The sequence below is a fragment of the Homo sapiens genome, chromosome 15, assembly GCF_000001405.40.
Source record: "Homo sapiens chromosome 15, GRCh38.p14 Primary Assembly".
NCBI lineage: Eukaryota > Metazoa > Chordata > Mammalia > Primates > Hominidae > Homo > Homo sapiens.
This window is the reverse complement of record NC_000015.10, coordinates 86,533,318-86,555,057: the sequence shown is the minus strand read 5'-3', so window position 1 is coordinate 86,555,057 and position 21,740 is coordinate 86,533,318. Positions and strand designations below refer to the sequence as shown.

Sequence of the window (21,740 nt, the reverse complement as noted above, 5' to 3'; positions counted from 1 at the left end):
TCATTCTGGGAGACCCACGCCATGCACACACTTTTGTGTGCTCTGGAGACAGCAGGATAACAAAGAGAACTACAGATTTAGATTGACGCAGAAGATGGAAACACAATAGATATATGTACCAACAATATCTACACACTGACCTATGCCCTTTATGATGTACATAGAACTAGTCCACTTGTTGCAGAAGGCAAGAATTTTATGCATATAACAACAGAGCCAGGCAAGCAGAGGTTCTGTAAAAGTTGGGGATGCATGTCAAAGAGAGGCTCCCAGCTGCTTGCTAGTGAGGGCAGCTGATTGAGGAACCAAATTGGAAAGCATGCACGCATTGCTTCCAGGATCAAGATAGATGATCCTGCAGGTGAAAGCAATTGTTGAACCCGTTTTTCAAGGCAAGGGAGGACCAAACTCTACTTGGAGCCTTCTTCCCCTTTTAGGTGAGAAAGCAGGTACGAGCTGTCTATAATTTCTATGTATTGTTGCTGGACAGAAAGTATGGGTGTCCTGCAGCCTCACATACCTGATAAGGGCCCTGGTTGCAGCCACAGTAGCTGCTTTCCATGGTGTAGCTTCTGGACACCCCCATCTCTCTCCACACCACCACCCGGGCCGTGGAAGCTCGAGATTTCTCCACGAGAAAGCTGCAGCTGCTCATTGTGAATGCTGGTGCTAGCTTATCAAGGATTTTGGGAAGAGTCTACAGTAAAAACAAAAATCAAACGATGATTAGTTGTGGGTGACTAGGGATAGTCATCATAAAAATAGCTTCTCAACATTGTTAAGCATCTATATATAAAATACTCGTTACTTTAAATCATTTATTAACCCTAAGAAATGGCTATCACTTTTTAAAAATCATTTTGCAGATGAGGAAACAGGCTTAGAAAAGGTAGAAATAGGCCAGGAGCGGTGGCTCATGCCTGTAATCTCAGCACTTTGGGAGGTTGAGGCAGGTGGATCACCTGAGGGCGGGAGTTCAAAACCAGCCTAGCCGTCATGGTGAAACCCCGTCTTACTAAAAATACAAAAATTAGCTGGATGTGGTGGCAGGCACCTGTAATCCCAGCTACTCAGGAGGCTGAGGTAGGAGAATCTCTTGAACCCAGATGATGGAGGTTGCAGTGTGCTGAGATTGCGCCACTGCACTCCAGCCTGGGAGACAGAGTGAGACAGCATATCAAAAAAAAAAAAGTTAGAAATAAATAGCTGAAGTCCAGAAAACCATAAAGTTGCTAGAAAGGAATCCAAATGCCAACCTGGCCAACTCCATAATCTTTCAATTCCTGTATTGCTATGGACCAAGGCTGCACACATACATTTGGCCTCATACATGAAAGAGTTGAGACTACGGAAATCCTCAGATTTCAAAGGGACTTGAAATTTACAGACTACATCCAGCCTCACTGTTACTTAGCAGGGTCAGACTAGGGACTGTTCACTTATTTCACAAGGCCAAAGGGGCCAGTGATGATTCTAGAGAAGAAGCACATATAGTTCACTTCTTTCCTAAGAGTATATAATTGCCAGAATGATCTTTTTCGTCTCATCTTCTAAGCCAAAAATCTGAGGCTTGATCAATATGAAACTCCTGAAAATCCATCCTCTCTGGGTTCATATGTTCCACCTTTTCTTGGGGTAAAAATATTTTATTTATGACTACTTAATCTCCATTTAGAAGGCATCTCTAGACACTTGACACCCTGATTGACAGAAAGGGATCTTCCAGCCACTAGACCTCCTCCCCAGAGGACAATGACTCAGAGTTGATAGTATACACAGTTCTGAGTCAGCAGAAATACTGCGATTAGTCCCAGAACTTTTATGACATTAACAAGAAGGATTCTCTCATTTTAGTGTTGGCAGAATATGCATAAATAACACATAGTATAAAATTACATACATTAGACAATAGTGAAGCCTTAGGCTTTTAGACAAATTACAGGGAGAAAGTAGAGAAGCATAACAAGTTAATGAGAATACAAATGAAAGAATTGTTTTTAAAGAGATGCAGTTTTGTTAATTTCTAGAACATTGAGCAAATCTCTTACTCTCTCTGGTACTTACTGTCCTCATGTTAAATGTAACTGTTAATTATAATTATTAATCATCTTATAAATTACATATTATATAAATATATTAGCATAATTAATATAATTCACTATGATCTCTAAATTCCTACATAGCCTCCAGACTTACAATCATCTAAAAAAGGGAAATAGAATGCTAATGTTATCTTCACTTGAGTGTCTACAATTGCCTCCTAACTGATTTCATCTTATCCACTCTTGTCCCTCCCTTCCTATAATCCCTCCATCTATTTGTTCCTTCAAAGTGCTCATTACAATTACAACTGAATTATTGTGTATGTATTAGTTGTTTGTTTTCTATCTCCCCAGAAGCCTAGAAGTTCCATGAGGGCAGGTCTGTGTCTTATTCACAGGAAAATCCCTACACATCGAGCAGTATGTTGCTCATAGAGGTTACTACATAATTATTTGCTAAAATAAATAGAATCTGCTAGTCCAGACCCCTGGGGGGCTGGTCAAATAGACATAAATATATTGTTTCCATATCCTGCAACTAAAGTGATCAATAATACTGGCAAATAGCTTTAACTTAACATTGGCATACCATGTCGCAAAAGTTTACTCTTACATTGTTTAAGTGACTTTTCCTTTTTTACTTAAGTGAAACCATTTTTTTCTTCCATAGGTTCTATCTCTCTCTTTTTTAAAAAAAATAAAAAGGCTTTATTTAAAGCAGTTTTAGGTCCACAGCGAAACTGAGAAGGAAGATGCAGGGATTTCCCATATGCCCCCCACTCCTGTACATGCATGGACTCCCTCAACATTGACATCCCTCACCAGAGTGGTAGGTTTGTTGTAACTGCTGAACCTACATAGAAACATCATCACTCAAAGTCTATAGTTTACATGAGGATTCTCTTCACTTTTGGTGTTGTACATCTTATGGGTTTGAAAAAATGTATAATGATGTGTACTCAATATTACAGTATTATCCAAAGTAGTTTTACTGCCCTAAGAATCCCCTGTGTTCCACCTATTTTTCCTTCCTTCCTTCCAAACTCCTGGCAACCCCGATCTTTTTAGTCTCCATGGTTTTGCTTTCTCCAGAATGTCATACAGCTGGAAATACAGTATGTAGCCTTTTCAGGTTGTTTTCTTTAACTTAGTAATATCCATTTAAGGTTCTTCCGTGTCTCTTCATGGCTTGATAGCTCATTCCTTTTCAGCACTGAATAATACTATTGTCTGTTTATAACAAATATTGGGCTGTAGCTGTCTTTTCTTGTGATGCCCTCATTTTGGCTTTGGTATCAGGATAACACAGACCTCATAAAATGAGTTGGCAAGTGTTTCTCCTCTATTTTCTGAAAGGATGTTTTTATAATTAGCACTATTTTGTTCTTAAGAGTTTGATAGAATGTATCAACAAAGCCATTTGGGCCTAGACTTCCATTTGTGGGAAGAGTTTTAATTACTAATTCTTCTTTCCACTTAAAATAAACCTCATCAGATTGTCCATGTGTCCTTGAGTCAGTTTTGGTAGTCTGTGTTCTCCTAAGAATGTATTCACTTGTTGGCATAAAGTTGTTAATGATATTCATTTTTACTTTGTAAGATCTGTAGTGATGCCCCTTCTTTCAATCCCAATTTTGGTAACTTGTATCTTCTTTCTTTTCTTTGTCTAGCTAAATAATGATCATTTTGTTGACCGTTTTAAGAAATCAAATTATGAATTATTGAATGAAAAGCATGTTCTTTATGGATTCTCTATTGTTCATATGATTTTTATTTCATTGATCTAACTTTGGCTTTTATTTTGTTCTTTCTTATACTTTGGGATTTATTTGCACTTATTTTTCTTGTTTCTGAATGTGGATGCTTAGATTCTTGATTTTAGATCTTTCTGCATTTCTAAATATTATAAATTACAAAGTTCCTTCTGTGTACTATTTTTGCTGCATACTATAAATTTTCACATATTGAGTTTTAATTTTTATTCACTTAAAGATATTTTCTAATTACCCATTGGATTTCCTCTTTGATCCATAAGTTAATTTGATACAAATTGTTTAATTTCCAAATAATCAGAGATATCCCAGATTTCTTATGAAAGTTAATTTATAATTTAATTCTCTTGAGTAGGTGAATATTCTGTGCATGGTTTCAGTCCCTTAAGATATATTGATATTTATTTAATAGCCTATTATAAGATCTATGCTGGAGAAATTTTGATGTGCACTCAAAAAGAATATACATTCTTTTGTTTTGAAAAGAACTGCTATATGTAAGTTAAGTCAGGTGTTCTCCATACTAATTTTCTTTTTGGTTATTCTATCACATACTGAGAGAAGACTACTAAAATATTCAGCTATTATTATTAAATTTTAAATGCCTTCTTTCAACTTTTTCTTCTTGTATGTCAGAGTATATATATTCACATACATTTATAATTGTTACACCTTGCTGATTAACAATTTGTTTCAGTATTATGAATTGCACCCTTAGCTCTAGTAATATTTCTCCTTTTAATGTATATTTTGTCTTATGTCAATATAACCATCTTTATTATGGTTACCATTTGCATGGTGTATCTTTTCCCATCTTTTAACTTTTAAGCTGTTTGCATTATTGAATCAAAAGCATGTCATTTATAGACAATATATACTTGAACCTATTTTTTAAATCTGGTCTTACAACCTCTGCCTTTGGAATGAGGGTTTGTTCGTTCATATTTAATGACATCATTGATATTTTTGGATTTACATTTGCCATTTTGTTGTTTGATTCTATATGTCTCATATATGTTTTGTTCCTCCTATACTATCTTCTTCTCTCATTATATCTTCAAATATTTTTTCAGACATTTATTTTCCTCTCTTTTTGGGCCTCCCATTACATGTTGGTTGATATGCTTTATGCTATCCTATAGGTCTCTACAGCTGTTTACTTTTCTTTAATCTTGTTTTCTCTGTTCTTTGAATTGAATAATTTGGGGTTAATCATCAAATTACTGATTCATTCTCTACTATCTTGCCATCTCAAATCTGCTGACAATCCCACCTAGTGAATTTTTCATGTTGGTTATGATACTCATCAACACTATCTCCTTCCTTCCTTCCTTCCTTCCTCCCTCCCTCCCTCCCTCCACTCCCCTCCCCACCCTTCCCCTCCCCTCCTCTCCTGTCCTCTTTCCTACCTTCCTTCCTTCCTTCTTTCTGTTCTAATTATCCATCAAATTTCCATATATATTGAGTAATGGTCATCATATTTTGCCATTAACTTTTGAACATAATTTTCTTTAATTATTTGAACATATTTTAACAGTTGCTTGGAAATAATTATGAATCCAACATGTTGGCCCACTCTTGTTTCTACTGACTGCTTTGTTTCCTGAGCGTGGATTTCACATTCTTGATTCTTCACAAAATTGTAGTTTTTGGTTGCAAACTGGACATCATAGATTATACTTTTTTTTTAGCATCTCTGGATTCTATTTTTTAAATGTTTTTAAATTTTTAACTACTTTCCTGGATTAATCTGCAGAATATTTCTTTCTTTTTTCTTCTGCAATGTGTGCCACTGATGTCTCTACACAGTTTCTACATTCTTATTTAAATTATTTAGCTTGACATCTGTGGCTGCTTGGCCTAGTGGTTATACAATAATTTGGGCAAATGTAGTGCTCAAATATCTTGAGTGCATAAGACTTCCACTCTCTGTTGATTGATTTGTATGTGATTTGGGAAGACATTCAAAATTGTGGCAGTTCTTAAGTCTCTTTGGACTTTCTTTCTCACTGGGCCCTCTTGGGTCTCCTCTAGAGACATATATTTTTCCATAATCCATACGATATAGTTTAGATACATGTCCCCACCAAAATCTCATGATGAAATGTAACTCCCAGTGTTAGAGGTGGGGCCTGGTAGGAGGTGACTGGATTACAGGAGTGGATTTCCCATGAATGGTTTTGCATCATCTTCTTGGTGCTGTCGTTGCAATAATGAGTGAATTCTCATGAGATCTAGTAGTTTAAAAGTGTGTGACACCTCCCCCTGACTCTTTTCCTGGCTCTGTTCTCACCATGTGAAGTGCCTGCTCCCCCTTCACCTTCTACCACGATTGGAAGCTTTCTGAGGCCTCCCCAGAAGCAGATGCCAACATTATGCTTCCCGAACAGCCTGCATAACCATGAGCCAATTAAACCTCTTTTCTTTATAATTTATCCAGTCTCAGCAATGCAAGAATGGCTTAATACACCATGTATTTATAGAGAGCCTATCTTAGCTTTTCTGTGGCTCTCTCATTTCTAAGGTCTCCCTTGTAAATTTCTGGCTGTGTGTGTGTGTGTGTGTGTGTGTGTGTGTGTGCGTGCATGTGTGTGTGTGTGGCTATCCTTCTGTTGGTAAAACTGCATTTCTTGATGACCACATAGAGTGGTGTCAGGAGCAGCCCCAGTCAAGAAGGTTACAGACCCCTGCTGTTCTTACATGAAGTTCCAGCAATTTTCAAGAATAAATGCTTCTCAATTTATCATCTGTATTTGGTCAATTTACAGAGTCCTAAAAGGGCTGCTTTTCAAAATTTTCTTCTATTTTATACTGCGTTTTGCAGAGAGGATTCACTGACCTCTTTATACCAACATAACTAGAAGTAGTACCATTAAAGTTGATTAATAAAACTGAATAAATGTTGCAGAGTGGATGTGAAATATAACAGGGTGTATAATCGTCTCTTCAATACTAATGGTAAATGACCAAATAAAGTCTTAGATAAGTTTAACATGTTTAGAATTGTTCCACTTTTGATGGTAATGAAGGAATCAGCCTCTAAGCATCAACAGACTCTTGACTGCTGGTAGATATCATGATGATAACATTAACCTATCTTACCAAGACATTCTCCCCTGAGTCTCAATTTTCCCATCTGTAAAATGAGTGGGTCCTTTCAATTCTGACAAGATCCATTTGTATACACAAAAGTCTTTTTAGGCAGATCACCAGTGTTAAGATAATTATTTACAGATCATTATGTCCTAATTTAGAGTGTCAGTGATAGAGGGAGTTATATACTATGTGGGACCCCAAAAAGCAAAGCTGTTTGGGTTGAAAGCCAGGGATGTGACCAAACCATATTCACTTCACTACCTCCACATATGTCATAGTAGCCCATGAATCACCTTTAAGGAATCCCAGGGCACCAACAAACTTGATGTAATAAACTATGTAGAAAATTTAACTTCCTAATTTCACAAGGGAGAAAAGTGAGGCTCAGACAACTGACCCACTCACAGTTAAAGAACCTTATAGGTGAGCATTAATGTCTAGATGGATTAATCTTTTTAACAGCATTGCTATTAAATACCACTGTCCTTATTCTCATAGGCAGAAACTGGCATACCTGTCTCTATAATGTTATGCCTTTTACCTTAACTGACACTAATCTGGGCCTCAAAATGTGTTTTGAATTTATTAATTAAACAGTATGAATTATTCACAAAAATTAAAATACAGTTGATAAGAACCCATCCTATCATTCCCTACAATGTCTGACCTCTGCCCCATTTCATGTCAGCTTCGTACAGGAGACTTTTTAAAGGTTCTGTGTCTTATACCTTTTCCTGTGTATAGGGAATTATCTATTAATATTATTACCTTCCCTTGGAAAAAGAGAAGTAAAAAACATGCTGACTCTATATTTAAGATTGGACCATGGTAGATTTTTTTGATTCAAGATGTATCACATATAAGAGATCATTTTATATGGGTTGGGTCCACAGGAGCTGCCCAGATGAATGCTTTAATTTACTAAACTAGTTTCCTAAATAAGATTAAGTTATTAAGCTTCTTATGGTTTATCACCATTACTCTGGTTGAGCCTTACAGCAAACAGGTTATTGAGGATAAGCTGTTGATTCTGCTATAAAAGCCTTGGGGTGGTTGTATTGATCAGCGGCAGTCTATTTTTGATGGACTGAGTGAAGAAGGCTAGAGAAGAGGGGATGTATTTCCAGGTGAAATGGTGACTTGGTGGATTTTTACCTCTTAATACTATCATTAACCCTGGGGATGAAGCTATTTTGCACATAGTAAATTGCATACCCAGAATAACAGTAGAGGCAGACACCATCATAATTTTCTACTTTTTCTACAGAAATTTTAAACAAAGACCAGTTTTCATTTAGTGTTTGGGCAACTTTGCTTCTTCCTGATTCTCATTATGCAATAGCTTGTTGCCTTTATCCTGATGGGAAGAAGTACTCCCTTCTTTACCCCTCCCTAATTTCCTATGTGGTTTCATGGAGGAACAGTTGAGCTCTAACCACTAAAACTAAAGTAAAATAGAATTAGGGTCAGTGGATTACTGATCTGCTTTTTATAGAATTCTCATGCAGAGAGATGTAGATGGTTTAATGGCTTATGTTTATTCATCCCTTCCTATTTATTTGAAGTCCTTTTGTATTCAGTATCATTGTGTTCCTTCCATAAGCTATGTAACAGAGGCAGTATTTTTACTATCCTCATTTTACAGATGGCAGAAGGGTGGTTCAGAGAGGTAATGTTAATGACCTCATAATCACACAGTTAATAATCGAATAATTGTAAAGCCAGGTATTAAGATGAGGTCTTCTGTCTCTAGTTCTCATGCCTTTTATACAATATCAAACCACATAGAAAACAGGGGCAAAGCAACAAGTCAGTAAGTCATTATTCAACAAAAATTAGGAGAGGTTACACATGCTTCCAGCCTGCTTGTATTACAATCCTATGGTTAGAATAATTAAAATGCTTATTTACAAAAAAAAAAAAAAACTAAATAAATGAGTGGGGCATGGTCTTAAAGGTAAGAATGAAGAATATGAACACAGCATGTCTGATGTCATTCCCCACAGCGGCTTACCCTGTAGTTGACCTCCTCTAGGATAGTAGATGTGCCCACAGTGCATGCTGCTTGCCACAAGGTTTCCTTGATGCTACAGCCATAAAGGAACACATTCTTCTTTTGGGAGTGGCCATGGAAGTCACAGAAAACCTACAATAGCCCAACAAAGGAGAAAATAAAACCAGGTCAGGTCATTGGTTTCTTAAATCCACTTAAATCGTATCTACTCATGTTCCATGGCTCAAAGAAAGTTTACAATGTCAACTTTCTCGGATGCTGTTGAGTTAGCAGACCAGCCATGTGCGGATCACTGGTGTCTTTGGCAAGAGTGGCATTGATTGTATCGATGGAGTTATCAGAGGAGAATGTAGACTTTAAGGGTCTTAGGAGTGAATAGAATACGAAGAAACGCAAGTCATGTATAGCTCTTTTGATAAATTTACTTGTGACTGGGTAGGAGGAATGGGCAAAGCTGGAAAAGAAAATAGGAACAAGGGCATTTTAAGATATCTATGAGTATTTTAAACAATTTGATGAGAACACATGGACACACAGAGGAGAAAAACACACACGCTGGGGCATTTCAGAGTGTGGAGAGTGGGAGAAGGGAGAGGATAAGGAAAAATAACTAATGGGTACTAGGCTTAATACCGGGGTGAGGAAACAGTCTGTACAACAAAGCTCCATGACACAAGTTTACCTGTGCAACAAATCTGTACTTGTACCCCTGAACTTGAAGGTTAAAAAAAATTAAAATAAAAGTCAATAGGAAAGATCCTTCAAAAGGGAATTGGTGAAATATACAAAAACAGAAGCTAATCAATCACTCTAATTTTTCTCTAGGCTCCAATGTGGAAAAGAATGACCATCAAAACACAATGGCTTATCAAACAAAGGATTATTTTTCATTCATACTAGAGATCGGCTATGACTCTGCTCTGCATGTTTTCTTCATTCTAGGATCCAGGCTAAAGAAGCCCTAATTTGAAACATGCTACTCTTGTGGTAGAGGGGAAAAACTGTCAAAGGTAGAATCAGGTAATGGCCATTAAAGCTTCTACTGAAGCGTGGCAAACGTCATATCTGCTCAAAGTCCACTGGTCAAAGAAAGTCACATAACCAATTTTATCAGTGGTGTAGGTAAGTACGTTCCTCCTAAAGGGAGGTTCTGCAAATCATATGACAAGGGCAGTGATGCAAAATCTTATTATAAGGAGAGATGCTAATAATGGAGAAAAATAATAAAATCTAAAAAAGACCACAACTTTTTTTCTATTCTTGTATGCATGACCCTTTGCAGTAGACTATGTTTCATCTTCATCAATAGGTAGAGTACATTTCTTCACCTCTGGAATATGCACTTAGCCATTGATATGGTTTGGCTGTGTTCCCACCCAAATCTCACCTTGAATTGTAATAATCTCCACATGTCAAGGGTGGGTCCAGGTGGAAGCAATTAAATCATGGGGGTAGGTCTTTGCCATGCTGTTCTCCTGATAGCGAATAAGTGTCATGAGACCTGATGGTTTTATAAAGGGGAATTCCCCTGTATTCCTTCTCTTGCCTGCTGCCATGTAAGATGTGACTTTGCCCCTCATTTGCCCTCCACCATGATCGTGAGGCCTCCCCAGCCATGTGGAACTGTGAGCCAATTAAACCTCTTTCCTTTACAAATTACCTAGTCTCACGTATGTCTTTATTAGCAGCATAAGAACAGACTAATACAGCTATGTAGCATCTTTTGGTCAATAAGACTGAGCAAATATGATGCAAGCTGAGGCATATTAAGGGGTTTGCTGTCTTGCTGTTCCCAGGAACCTTGCAACAACCATCACGTGAGTAAACATAGGCTGGGCTGCTGGATGATGAGACTCTCTGCAAAGTCATCCCGATTGACCTAGCTGATATCAAGCCAACCACCAGGTATGTGAATGAATCTAACTTAGACCATCCAGTCCTAGCCAACCTGGGTCAGAGCAGAGGAATCATAATGCATAGCTTTTGTTTAAGCCACTAAGTTTTGCTGTGGTTTATTATACAACAAAAGCTAAGTGTTAGAATAATCTCTCCTCCTAGTCTAAATATTTGTTTCCCTCCCTTCCACATACAAAATACACTCACCTATTCTCCAAGGAAAATACACTTAAAGAGCCCATTCCATTACAGTATCAGTCTCAGCCCAAAATTCCATTATAGTTTCTATATCCTGTGTATGCCTTCTCCTTATCTATGAAGAAAAAGGCAAGCCACCTGTTTTCTGTTCATCTACCTACAATGGTTGAATGAGGAAATAATATCCCCAGTAACACTCATGTTTCAAAGGAGATGAATAAGATGGATATAGCAGTTGCTGGTTCATAACAATTCTGTAATGCTTTCATCCAGGCATTGTGAGATGCCTGTATCCTTTGGGTAGGGCCAGTTGGTTGATTAGACCCTGGTTCTGCTCCCTGTCATTAGTTGTCCAGTATTATTTTTTCTACAGATATTTACTCTTTCCTTGTGAGGTACTTATTTTTCCTGTATCTTTCTTGGCCATGCATGAAAAGGGCATTGAACAATATTGCCTACTTTAAGGCAAAGCCTCTAACTTCTCCAGTTCCTGATGTAGAAGTTTGGGGTCCAAAGATCATTTTGGTCTGAAAAAGTCACAGTCTCTTTGAATCAAAACATTAAAAGAATGGAAATGAAACACACGACAGTAAAAGAATATATTTTTCTTTTTTTCTTGACTTTAATTTCTCTAAAACACAACTGACAGTCTAAAGAAAAATAGTAGCAATATACTGCATGTTTATAGCATATGTAAAAGTAAATGTATCACAATCGTATTATAAAATGTGAGAAAATAAACGGTTATATACTGTCATAAGGTCCTTGTAGTAGAGAGGAAGCAGTATGTTATCTCAAGGTAGACTCTAATTAATTAAAGATAGATATTGTAAACAATAGGGCAAACACTAAATTACTTTTAAGGGGCATGAATAATAATTCAAATGTGGAGATAAATTGGGATCATAAAAATGCTCAATGAATAAAAGAGAAAGCAGAAAAGATAGGAAGCTCTAAGAACACATGAAAAAATAGAAAACAGCAAAATGGTAGATTTCAACCCAAACATATCAATAATCTTACTTATTGTAAATGGTCAAAACACACTAATTAAAAGGTAAAGAGTATCAGTTTGGATAAATAAGAAAGATCAAATATATTCTGCCTACACGAAGTTCATTTTAAATAAAAAGACACAGATAGGTTGAAAGTAAAAGGATGTAAAATATAGTATGCAAATACAAAACAAAAGAATGCTAGAGTAGCTATATTAATTATCAGATAAAGTAGACATCAGAACAAGAAGAATTATCTGGGATAAAGCGAGATACGATGGTTGATGTATCCCTCCTGTCTTTGGTGGTTAAGTGCTACCACTTGGCCTCTGTACTCTAGGATTGCATAATCTCCATAAAATCAAAGACCCCATCTCGCCAGGCGCAGTGGCTCACTCCTGGAAATCCCAGCACTTTGGGAGGCCGAGCCAGGTAGATCACCTGAGGTCAGGAGTTCGAGACCAGCCTGGCCAACATGGTGAAACCCTGTCTCTACTAAAAATACAAAAAATTGGCCAGGCATGGTGGCATGCGCCTGTAATCCCAGCTACTTAGGAGGCTGAGGCAGGAGAATTGCTTGAACCTGGGAGGTGGAGGTTGCAGTGAGCCGAGATCGTGCCATTGCACTCCAGCCTGGTCAAAAAGAACAAAACTCTGTCTCAAAAAAAAAAAAAAAAAAAAAAAAAAATCTCAATGGTGGCATCCCCTACAAACCTGGCCTTCAAAGGAGAACAACTACAGAGTTTGTCAAGGATGAAGACACTACTGTATTTCTCATTGCTTCATGGAGGGAGTGTCTTCTGAGCCCTCTCATAAACAGGATAAACTCAGTATACATTTCTATCTCCTAGAGACTTTGCATACTCTCCCCTACATTATGCCAGCAAAGCTCTGGAATCTTGACCTTACTAAATGTAGACTATTGTTGAGCACAACATTCATTCAACCACCCAATTAAGCTGTTAGATCCACTTCCAGCTGCGCAAGCTAACACATTAAATTTAGAACCTCTAGATTGTATACTCATGTCAATGAAGTCAGCCAAATCTAGTGAATTTCTGCCCTTATTAGAATACTCCCACACATGTTGCCCACGTTTCTAATGATATATATTATCAAATCTTGTAATTCTTTTGTGTGCAAGCTATTTCTTTTTGGGTAACAGCATGTACTTATCTTCTAGGATCATGCTGATATTTGATTCTAGTTAGGAGATCAGGAGGCAACATGAGGTAGTTGTTGTGGGTCTTGAAAAAAATTGGCTCAGTCTCTAGAGGCATCTGTTCCAGGTGATGTTATTACAGAATTTTCCAGCAGGGGAAAGCTAGTCTCCTCAGTTACTATTGCTACTAATACGTGAGGCTTGCATGATTTGCATGATGTCCTATTCTAGACTTTAGAGCAGTGGGTCTCTCTCTCTCTCTCTCTTTTTTTTTTTTTTTTTTTTTTTTGAGACATAGTCTCACTCTTTCACCCAGGCTGAGAATGCAGTGGTGCAATCATGGCTCACTGCAACCTTCGAGATCCTGGGCTCAGGTTATCTTCCTGCCTCAGCCTCCAAAGTAGCTAGGACTACAGGCAAGCGACACCATACGTGGCTAATTTTTAAAATACTTTTGTAGAGACAGGATATCCCTCTGTTGCCCAGGATGGGTCTCAAATATTAATAAGCATCAGAATAACCTGGAGGTCTTGTTAAAGCAGACTGCTGAGCCACACCCTGGCAATTCTGTGATTCAAGTAGGTCTGGGTTGAGCCCAAGAATTTGCATTTCTGGCAAGTTTCCGGGTGATGCTCATGCCCCAGCCCCAGGACCTTACTTTCAAAGCCTCTAGTCTAAAGGAACAAATAAAATAATTGTTTGAGGTTTAATCCTCTACTATCACTAATTTTCCACCAACTTTTACCTCTTACATCTTAGTTTCTCTCTGTGAATAAACACTCACCATTCTTATGAAAAGTGTGCAAACAAATTAAAACTGTGTCTTAGCAACAGATTTCTCAATAAAGCCAGAAGCTATGCCTCCTTGGTGATAGGCACTCCTTAAATACTAAATTCAACTGGAGAAAATAGCTTTTCTTCCTTCCCTGATCCTTACAGACTCTGAAAAAGGAAGTAAACGACAAATTATAGAGCCATTCACCTGCAGGAATAAACATGGTGAGTTCTAGTAGCCACAGAAGATTCAGAGTGAAGGAGAAGGAGACATTGTTCTGCTTGTTTCTCAAACGATATCCCTGAAAACAAATGCCTGTTAATTCTAAGAAACATGTGTTTCTTCAAATTGCAGGGTGCAATTACAAGGCAATTATCCAATTATTTAAGTTAAGGAAGCTTTTTCTTTTCTACCATAAGATTTAATACTTATACTTCTTTTCAGTACAATTCTTTAACAGGTAAGCAGAAACTGTTCCCAATACAATATTTACAGGTTAATCAATAGCCCTATTTTTTTTTAAGACAGAGTCTCACTCAGACTGGAGTGCAATGGCCCAATCTCAGCTCACTGCAACCTCCATGTCCCAGGTTCAAGCAATTCTCGTGGCTCAGCCTTCCGAGTAGCCAGGACTGCAGGTGCCTGCCACCACGCTCAGCTAACTTTTTGTGTTTTTAGTAGAGACAGCATTTTGCCATGTTGCTCAGGCTGGTCTCAAACTCCTGAGCTCAGGCAATCTGCCTGCCTTGTCCTCCCAAAGTGCTAGGATTACAGGTGTGAGCCACCGCTCCCCACCTCAATAGCCCTATCTTGTTGTTTATCAATTGATTCAACAAATATTTACTGGGTAACTGCTACGTAATAGGAGAAGTTAAAATTTTAATATAACACAGCACTGCTCTCCGTAACAATAATAATAGCAACAATAGTTAATTTATTGAAGACTCTAGATAGCATGCTAAAAATTTAATCTAGATTATCCCATGGTGAAGTAGGTGCTATTATTATGCTCATTTTGTGGCCGAGAACACTAAATTCCAGATAAAATAAGTAACTTGCCCAAGTTTGTATTGTTATTGTGTGAATAAATATTGGAGCCCCAGTTTGCCCTAACCCAGAGACAATGTTTTAAAACACTTTTCATTTCTATATTACCCCATCCAGAAGCTGATTTGTTGATATTATACCACAAGCCAAGAGGTCATTGTATTACCATAAGAGAAGAGCTGAAGTAGAGATAAGCAGCGTTCTCTGGGAACCCAATAAGAACAGTTGCACACTTCCAGGGGGCAGCATTCACATTGCACTCCAAGGGAGCAGCACCTTGGAAGTGTGCTATGTGGTGCTTCTGGGATTCTCAAGGGAGGTTATACATAAGATGAACCTTACTGAGTGAGAGCTATCCAAGCAAATGACAAAACAGCAAGAAGGATCTGTAGATTTGAGGTATTAACAATAATTTGGAATAAGAGGGTAGAGTGAAAGGAGAATAAATTAGGTATCTATAGAAGTGGGCAGTGGTCAGATCGTTAATGCACTTGTACATCATTCTAGAATGTTGAGACATTTTCTTGAAGGTGGTGAAGGAGCCTTTAAACTAAGCAAGAAGGAGCAAGATGATCAGATCATTAGAACGAAGAACAGAAGTGTTAAGATGGGAGGGACTGAGACTAGGCAAGTGAGATGAGAAGGGCCTAGCTTAAGGCACCAGATATAAGTATATAAAGAAAAGAAGTTTTGTGAGAGTAAAGAAGTAAAATCTACAGGAGTTAGAGACAATGGATTTAGAGGCTAAGAAAGGAAGAGGTTAGGAATAACTCCTTGATTTCCAGATTAAGTAAACAGGCAATGATTGTGCCTTTCCGCAAAGGCAAGGAACATAGGAAGAAATGCAGAATTGAAGACTTTGTGTAGTTTCATCTAGTTTCCTTTGAGCTGGAGTGTTTAGTTTTGAACTTTGGGCCTTTGACTAAACCAATTCCCCTCTCTGTGCCTCAGTTTCTTCATCAGGAAGGTATGGATTGGATTATGCATCTTCCTAGGACCTTTTCCAATGCATTCTTGTCTGAGCTAAATTGCAAGGTTAATTTAGTTCATGCAAACATGAGTTCCATGATTTCTTGCTCCGCAAAGAAGCTGATGAGGACCAGATTGCCATGCTTCTCACATGCCTTCCTCATCTCCTTCCTCCTTGGTCCCATTCTAGTTCCTCTGCAAGTTAATAGGTCCCCCTTGTTCAAGAGGTTACCCTCTCCCTCTCAAACACCTCTCCCTTAGCCGTTCCCCTTTTCCCCAGGGCTCACCTATTCCTGATTGTGTTTACCGCTCTGCTTTGCCAATGTAAACTGCTGTGCTTTCCATTCTGACATCTGGGTCTCATTCCTGCTTCCCAGTATCAAGACATTTGCATTATTTATACCATTGTCACAGGAAAATGAAGGCAAGGCTGAAGCCTAGAGGAGATATATTTGAGAATATGATGGAAACCCAAAACAGCAATGTGTCCAATTAAACCAACTGAGGCTAACTAAAGCCCTGGAGGTTCCAGCTTGTGCACAATATTGTGCAGATGGCATTCAGCCCAAGTTCCTAAATGGAGTTAACATCTCTTTGAGGGAAATGATATTGGTGACACGTTCAGCTACCTTCCAAGAGGCCAATTTGCAAGACCACATTTCCTAGTCTTTTTATTGATAGCCATACTCTCTCCTTAGTAAGTGCTTCATCTGAGTCATCAGCAACATCCAGTCCTAGCTGAGGTTAACCACATTAGGCACATGCAGAATTTATTCCTAAAACCACCTGAAAGGGATTTTATGCTCTGTTTCCTTTCCCAAAGCGAGAGACTCAGACTTTCACTTAAATTGGGTCATCATGGGCCAAAGTTTCAACATGGCCTTAGAAAAGCAGCCTTTACTTACAGATCAGTCTTGGACCCCTCCAATGGCCACTTTGGGGAGAAAAATTTCACATTAAACTCAATAGAATGTATCAATAACCAACTGCTCATGAGACTGCCCACAGTGGGACCCTTTATGCTGAAGGACGTTTTTGGCCATCTCACCTCAGCAGCATGTATTATAATGTTCTTTCCAAAATATTTCAGTTACAATGAAAGAGCGCCTGTAAATCAACCCAAAAACATACAATCTAATATGTGGCTTTGTTTTGTATCTAATGCCCTTCTAGTAAGTAATGATTTTAACGTCTATTATTTATTTGAATGCCAGATATGTGTCGGTCACCATGCTGAGATTTTACACTCCTCTATAATCAGTATAAGAAGTCCTAAAGGAGGATGTTATCCAAATATAGAGATGAGGTTCAATTTCTTCTAAAGTTAAAGGAGGTTAAGCAACTTGCAGATGGACCCATTAGAAAGTGATGTGTGATATCTCAAACTCTAATCAGTGTGGTTCTAAAAGTTTTCCAAACACGACATTTTAAAACATTTGATGGACGAGTGATGAAGAACAATATAACAAAACTCTCAATTCGCGTATTTGAAAGTGAGTGGTCTTGCGTTTTTCCACTCTCCATCTCTGGCCAGCCATCCCTCCATGAGTGGTAAGCCTAATGCCCTGAGAAGGCACTTATGCAGTGAGTTCCTGGGAAGATTCCTCAAGAGTTAAATCTGTTCCCTTTCCCCAGTTTCAGACATTGAAGGGAGAGAAGCAGTAGCCTGGATGTCACCTTTCTACACAATCCCTGCAACCTATCAGCCTGAGAGGCCTTTGCCATCTGTCTCGCTCAGTTGCAGGTACTGAAGTTCTCGAGGTAGAAGCATTAATCTATTTGGTGTACCAAGCCCAATCAGAGCAGATGGTTATTGGGACCTCTGTCTTCACCATAATGTGGGATTCAGACTAGTCTTTTTGACCTATAACAAGGCTTCTATATTGTCTGGCTAAACCCTTGGGGTAGGCTGGGGACTGAATACTGACCTATCACCATGCCTACTCAGTCCCTGTAAAGAGATTTGCCCTTGGCTTTTGCCTCTGTTTCTGAGTTGCTTTCCTAACTGAGAACTGTTGATTGCCTTGGCCCCCAAGGATGGACTGTGCTTTGCTCTGGGCAACCCTCACTGTCTGCGATGAGAACTTTAAGCCCTACGCCCAATGCCCTTGGCCACGATCATTGCTACCTTGCTGTGTTTACCAGATTAGTTTTCTTCAGACATGCACAAGTCTCTTCCGTGTCTTCATCGGAAGCCTCTGTTTTCACTTCTGGCCTTCACGGAGAGCAGCCTTATGGCAAAATTAGTCCCTGTGGCCCCATCTCTATGTATTTCTTGCTTTCACCTATTTCCACTAGCTCTGGGCAGAGGGACCTTCACAAAGGCTGAAGAGGAATGCTTTCTAAGCGGTTACCCTCCTATTTTCCCCTCCCCTCCATCTCCTCATTTCATTCCATTCCACAACAAATAAAACATAAGAAATTTGTTTAGACTTCTTTGAAAATTCTGACTTGCCCTCCCTCTAAGAACATCCCAGATTTTTGACCAGGCACAGTGGCTCATGCCTGTAATCCCAACACTTTGGGAGGCCGAGGCGGGCAGATCATGAGGTCAAGAGATAGAGACCATCCTAGCCAACATGGTGAAACCCCGTTTCTACTAAAAATACAAAAATTAGCCAGGTGTGGTGGCACGTGCCTGCAGTCCCAGCTACTCAGGAAGCTGAGGCAGGAGAATTGCTTGAACCCGGGAGGCAGAAATTGCAGTGAACTGAGATTGCACCGCTGCACTCCAGCCTGGTGACAGATCGAGACCCCATCTCAAAAAAACAAACAAAAAAGAATATCCCAGATTTTCAGCTCTTGTGTTACACAGAAACTACATTGAAGACACTGTTGAGAGCAAGAGAAAAAATGCCCTTTGCTTTTCACTAAAATTTATCAAGAAACTGAAGCAATTCAATTAAATGTAGTTTTTTTGTGTCAGTAAAAATATACACAAAACTTGGTTTCTGGTATGGTAAAGAAGCCTTGTTTAACCTTCATTCTGATAGCATGGGAACAATTCCAAATAAAAGAATATGGAAGCAAACTGAAATATTTTTAATTCAGGACCTTTATGGGTATTCTGTCCTTCCTGACTATGGAACAGGAGTGTTTGTTCTTTTCCTACCATATCCTCAAATGTAAAAAAAGGGAAATTCTAGATGTGGTACCTTAACACGAGTTATGAAAATAAGCAAAAATAACACTTATTCTTCTGCTACTGCTAAGGAATAAAGTGGAAATAAAACAATTCATGTGTATAAAATATCTTGAGGCCCTTGGCGACAAGGGTTATAGAAAGGAATACGCCATCCTTTTTTTCATCTCCTTTTGTGCTTCTTTTAAAAGAAGCTGATTAACCCAAAACATATGCCAGAGGGACAAAATAAAACCAGAAAAATCATTTAAGTAGCTAAAAATTCTATTCCACTGGGCCCCAGAGAAAGACAAAACTACAATATGCCCACCCTGTCCTCTGGCAGAAGGCAGCTCAGTTTGTGTGAGTTATAAACAGAAATTGATGCGCTCTTCAAAGAGGACTGAAATCCCTTTACCAAAATGCACTCACATAGTGAGAGCCAAGAGGATAGGAATCGATCCCATTCCCATTTCTGAAGCCCCAATTACTTGAACAGCACAGGGGCCAGGCCAGCTGCAATATGGCAGCTCAGAAGAGGCTGTCCACCTGGCTCCCCAGGAGCTTGCTGTAGTAGCCTAAGAACTTTCTTCCAGTCCCAGGGATGTCCCCGACTGTCCTCATCTGCCTCCTTGGCCATGAGCCTCTTGGCTTTTAGAGGGAGCTCCACAAAGGGAAACTGGTTCAATGCCTTCTGCTAGCTGATTGTAGAGCTTGTCCGCTTCTTTGGGCTTCTCTGCTTATAGGCCGCCTCTCTGGCTGGATCTTTCTGACTTCTAAACAGACCTTCTTCTACAACCTTTCTGCTCTTTCCTGGGAAAACTGTTTTCCTTGGCTCACATGCCTGTATGCTAGTCAGCTTCATTTAAGGGAGCCCCCTTTGTCTCCTCATTGCATTTTAAATCTCTGTGACTTTGCTTTAATTTTAATTTTCTGCATTTAGGTAAATGTGTACCTAGAGTGAAAAACGCAGATCCTGAATATATAGTTCAATGAGTTTTTGTGTAACCGACTCTGATCATGATATTGAACATCTCTGCTAACCTATAAAGTTCCCTCCTGACCCCTACTATTCAATGCTCTTCCTCAGAGGCAAACACTGTTCAATTTATGTCCCCATAAATTACTTTCACTGATCTTATACTTTACATAAACAGACACATAGAGAATAGAGTATGTAGTCTTTAGTGTCTAGCTTCTTTCACTCAATATAATGTTTATGAGATTCACCCACGTTATTGACTATATCATAGTTCATTTTTTGGTTTAGTTTTGGTTTTAGTTACTGAATAATATTCCAGTGCATAAATATACCAAACTTTGCTGTGTCTGGGCTTCTGTATCTAACATCTGGACTCTCTAACAAACAAAAGAGACAGAAAACCTGGGTTAAAGAAAATGGGAATGGAGTCACAAGAAGGTCTGTGTGATATCAAATGAATCTCTGCGACCCATCAAATGAGAAGCTTCTTTTCCTTTGCCCTGTGTAGTAACCCCAAGCACAGAAAACTCCTGGACTTTCAATTTCACAGGGCAGAAGACTCAAGAGATCATAGGCCTACAGATTCTTTGAGGAAAGAATATTTCTCAGCCTTACTAGAATAAAATCCAAGGGAAACTCTTCTTCATGCAAGTCCAGCTCAAATGGTACTTCTAATCTCTGGCTTTTCCATAACCCTGAGAGAAAATGACTCAACCCTTCATCTATGTTCCTATCAAAGCTCACATGGGCCTTTGTTACAGTGCTTACTATTTTCTACCACTCCAGTTTCCTTGTAGACCTGACTCTACTTTCTACCAAAGTAAAATCTGGGTTCCTCAAAGAAAAGGACAATCTTTTTTTTTTTTTTTTTTTTTTATTATACTTTAAGTTTTAGGGTACATGTGCACATTGTGCAGGTTAGTTACATATGTATACATGTGCCATGCTGGTGCGCTGCACCCACTAACTCGTTATCTAGCATTAGGTATATCTCCCAATGCTACCCCTCCCCCCTCCCCCCACCCCACCACAGTCCCCAGAGTGTGATATTCCCCTTCCTGTGACCATGTGATCTCATTGTTCAATTCCCACCTATGAGTGAGAATATGCGGTGTTTGGTTTTTTGTTCTTGCGATAGTTTACTGAGAATGATGGTTTCCAATTTCATCCATGTCCCTACAAAGGACATGAACTCATCATTTTTTATGGCTGCCTAGTATTCCATGGTGTATATGTGCCACATTTTCTTAATCCAGTCTATCATTGTTGGACATTTGGGTTGGTTCCAAGTCTTTGCTATTGTGAATAATGCCACAATAAACATACGTGTGCATGTGTCTTTATAGCAGCATGATTTATAGTCATTTGGGTATATACCCAGTAATGGGATGGCTGGGTCCAATGGTATTTCTAGTTCTAGATCCCTGAGGAATCGCCACACTGACTTCCACAATGGTTGAACTAGTTTACAGTCCCACCAACAGTGTAAAAGTGTTCCTATTTCTCCACATCCTCTCCAGCACCTGTTGTTTCCTGACTTTTTAATGATTGCCATTCTAACTGGTGTGAGATGGTATCTCATAGTGGTTTTGATTTGCATTTCTCTGATGGCCAGTGATGATGAGCATTTTTTCATGTATTTTTTGGCTGCATAAATGTCTTCTTTTGAGA

At 38.8% G+C, this 21,740-nt stretch overlaps 1 protein-coding gene across 5 annotated transcripts in view; it reads right to left on the bottom strand.

Annotated features, from left to right (window-relative positions):
• The window catches only part of AGBL1 (AGBL carboxypeptidase 1), a 951,857-nt gene that overhangs the window by 476,419 nt on the left and 453,698 nt on the right, over window positions 1-21,740 (bottom strand). For all 5 annotated transcript variants that reach the window (XM_011521227.4, NM_152336.4, XM_017021919.3 and 2 more), the window contains 2 exons: window positions 8,925-9,056; window positions 521-697 (listed from right to left, as the gene is read on the bottom strand). In XM_011521227.4, the coding sequence (XP_011519529.1) occupies window positions 521-697; window positions 8,925-9,056 (309 nt within the window). The remainder of the gene's footprint in view (window positions 1-520; window positions 698-8,924; window positions 9,057-21,740) is intronic.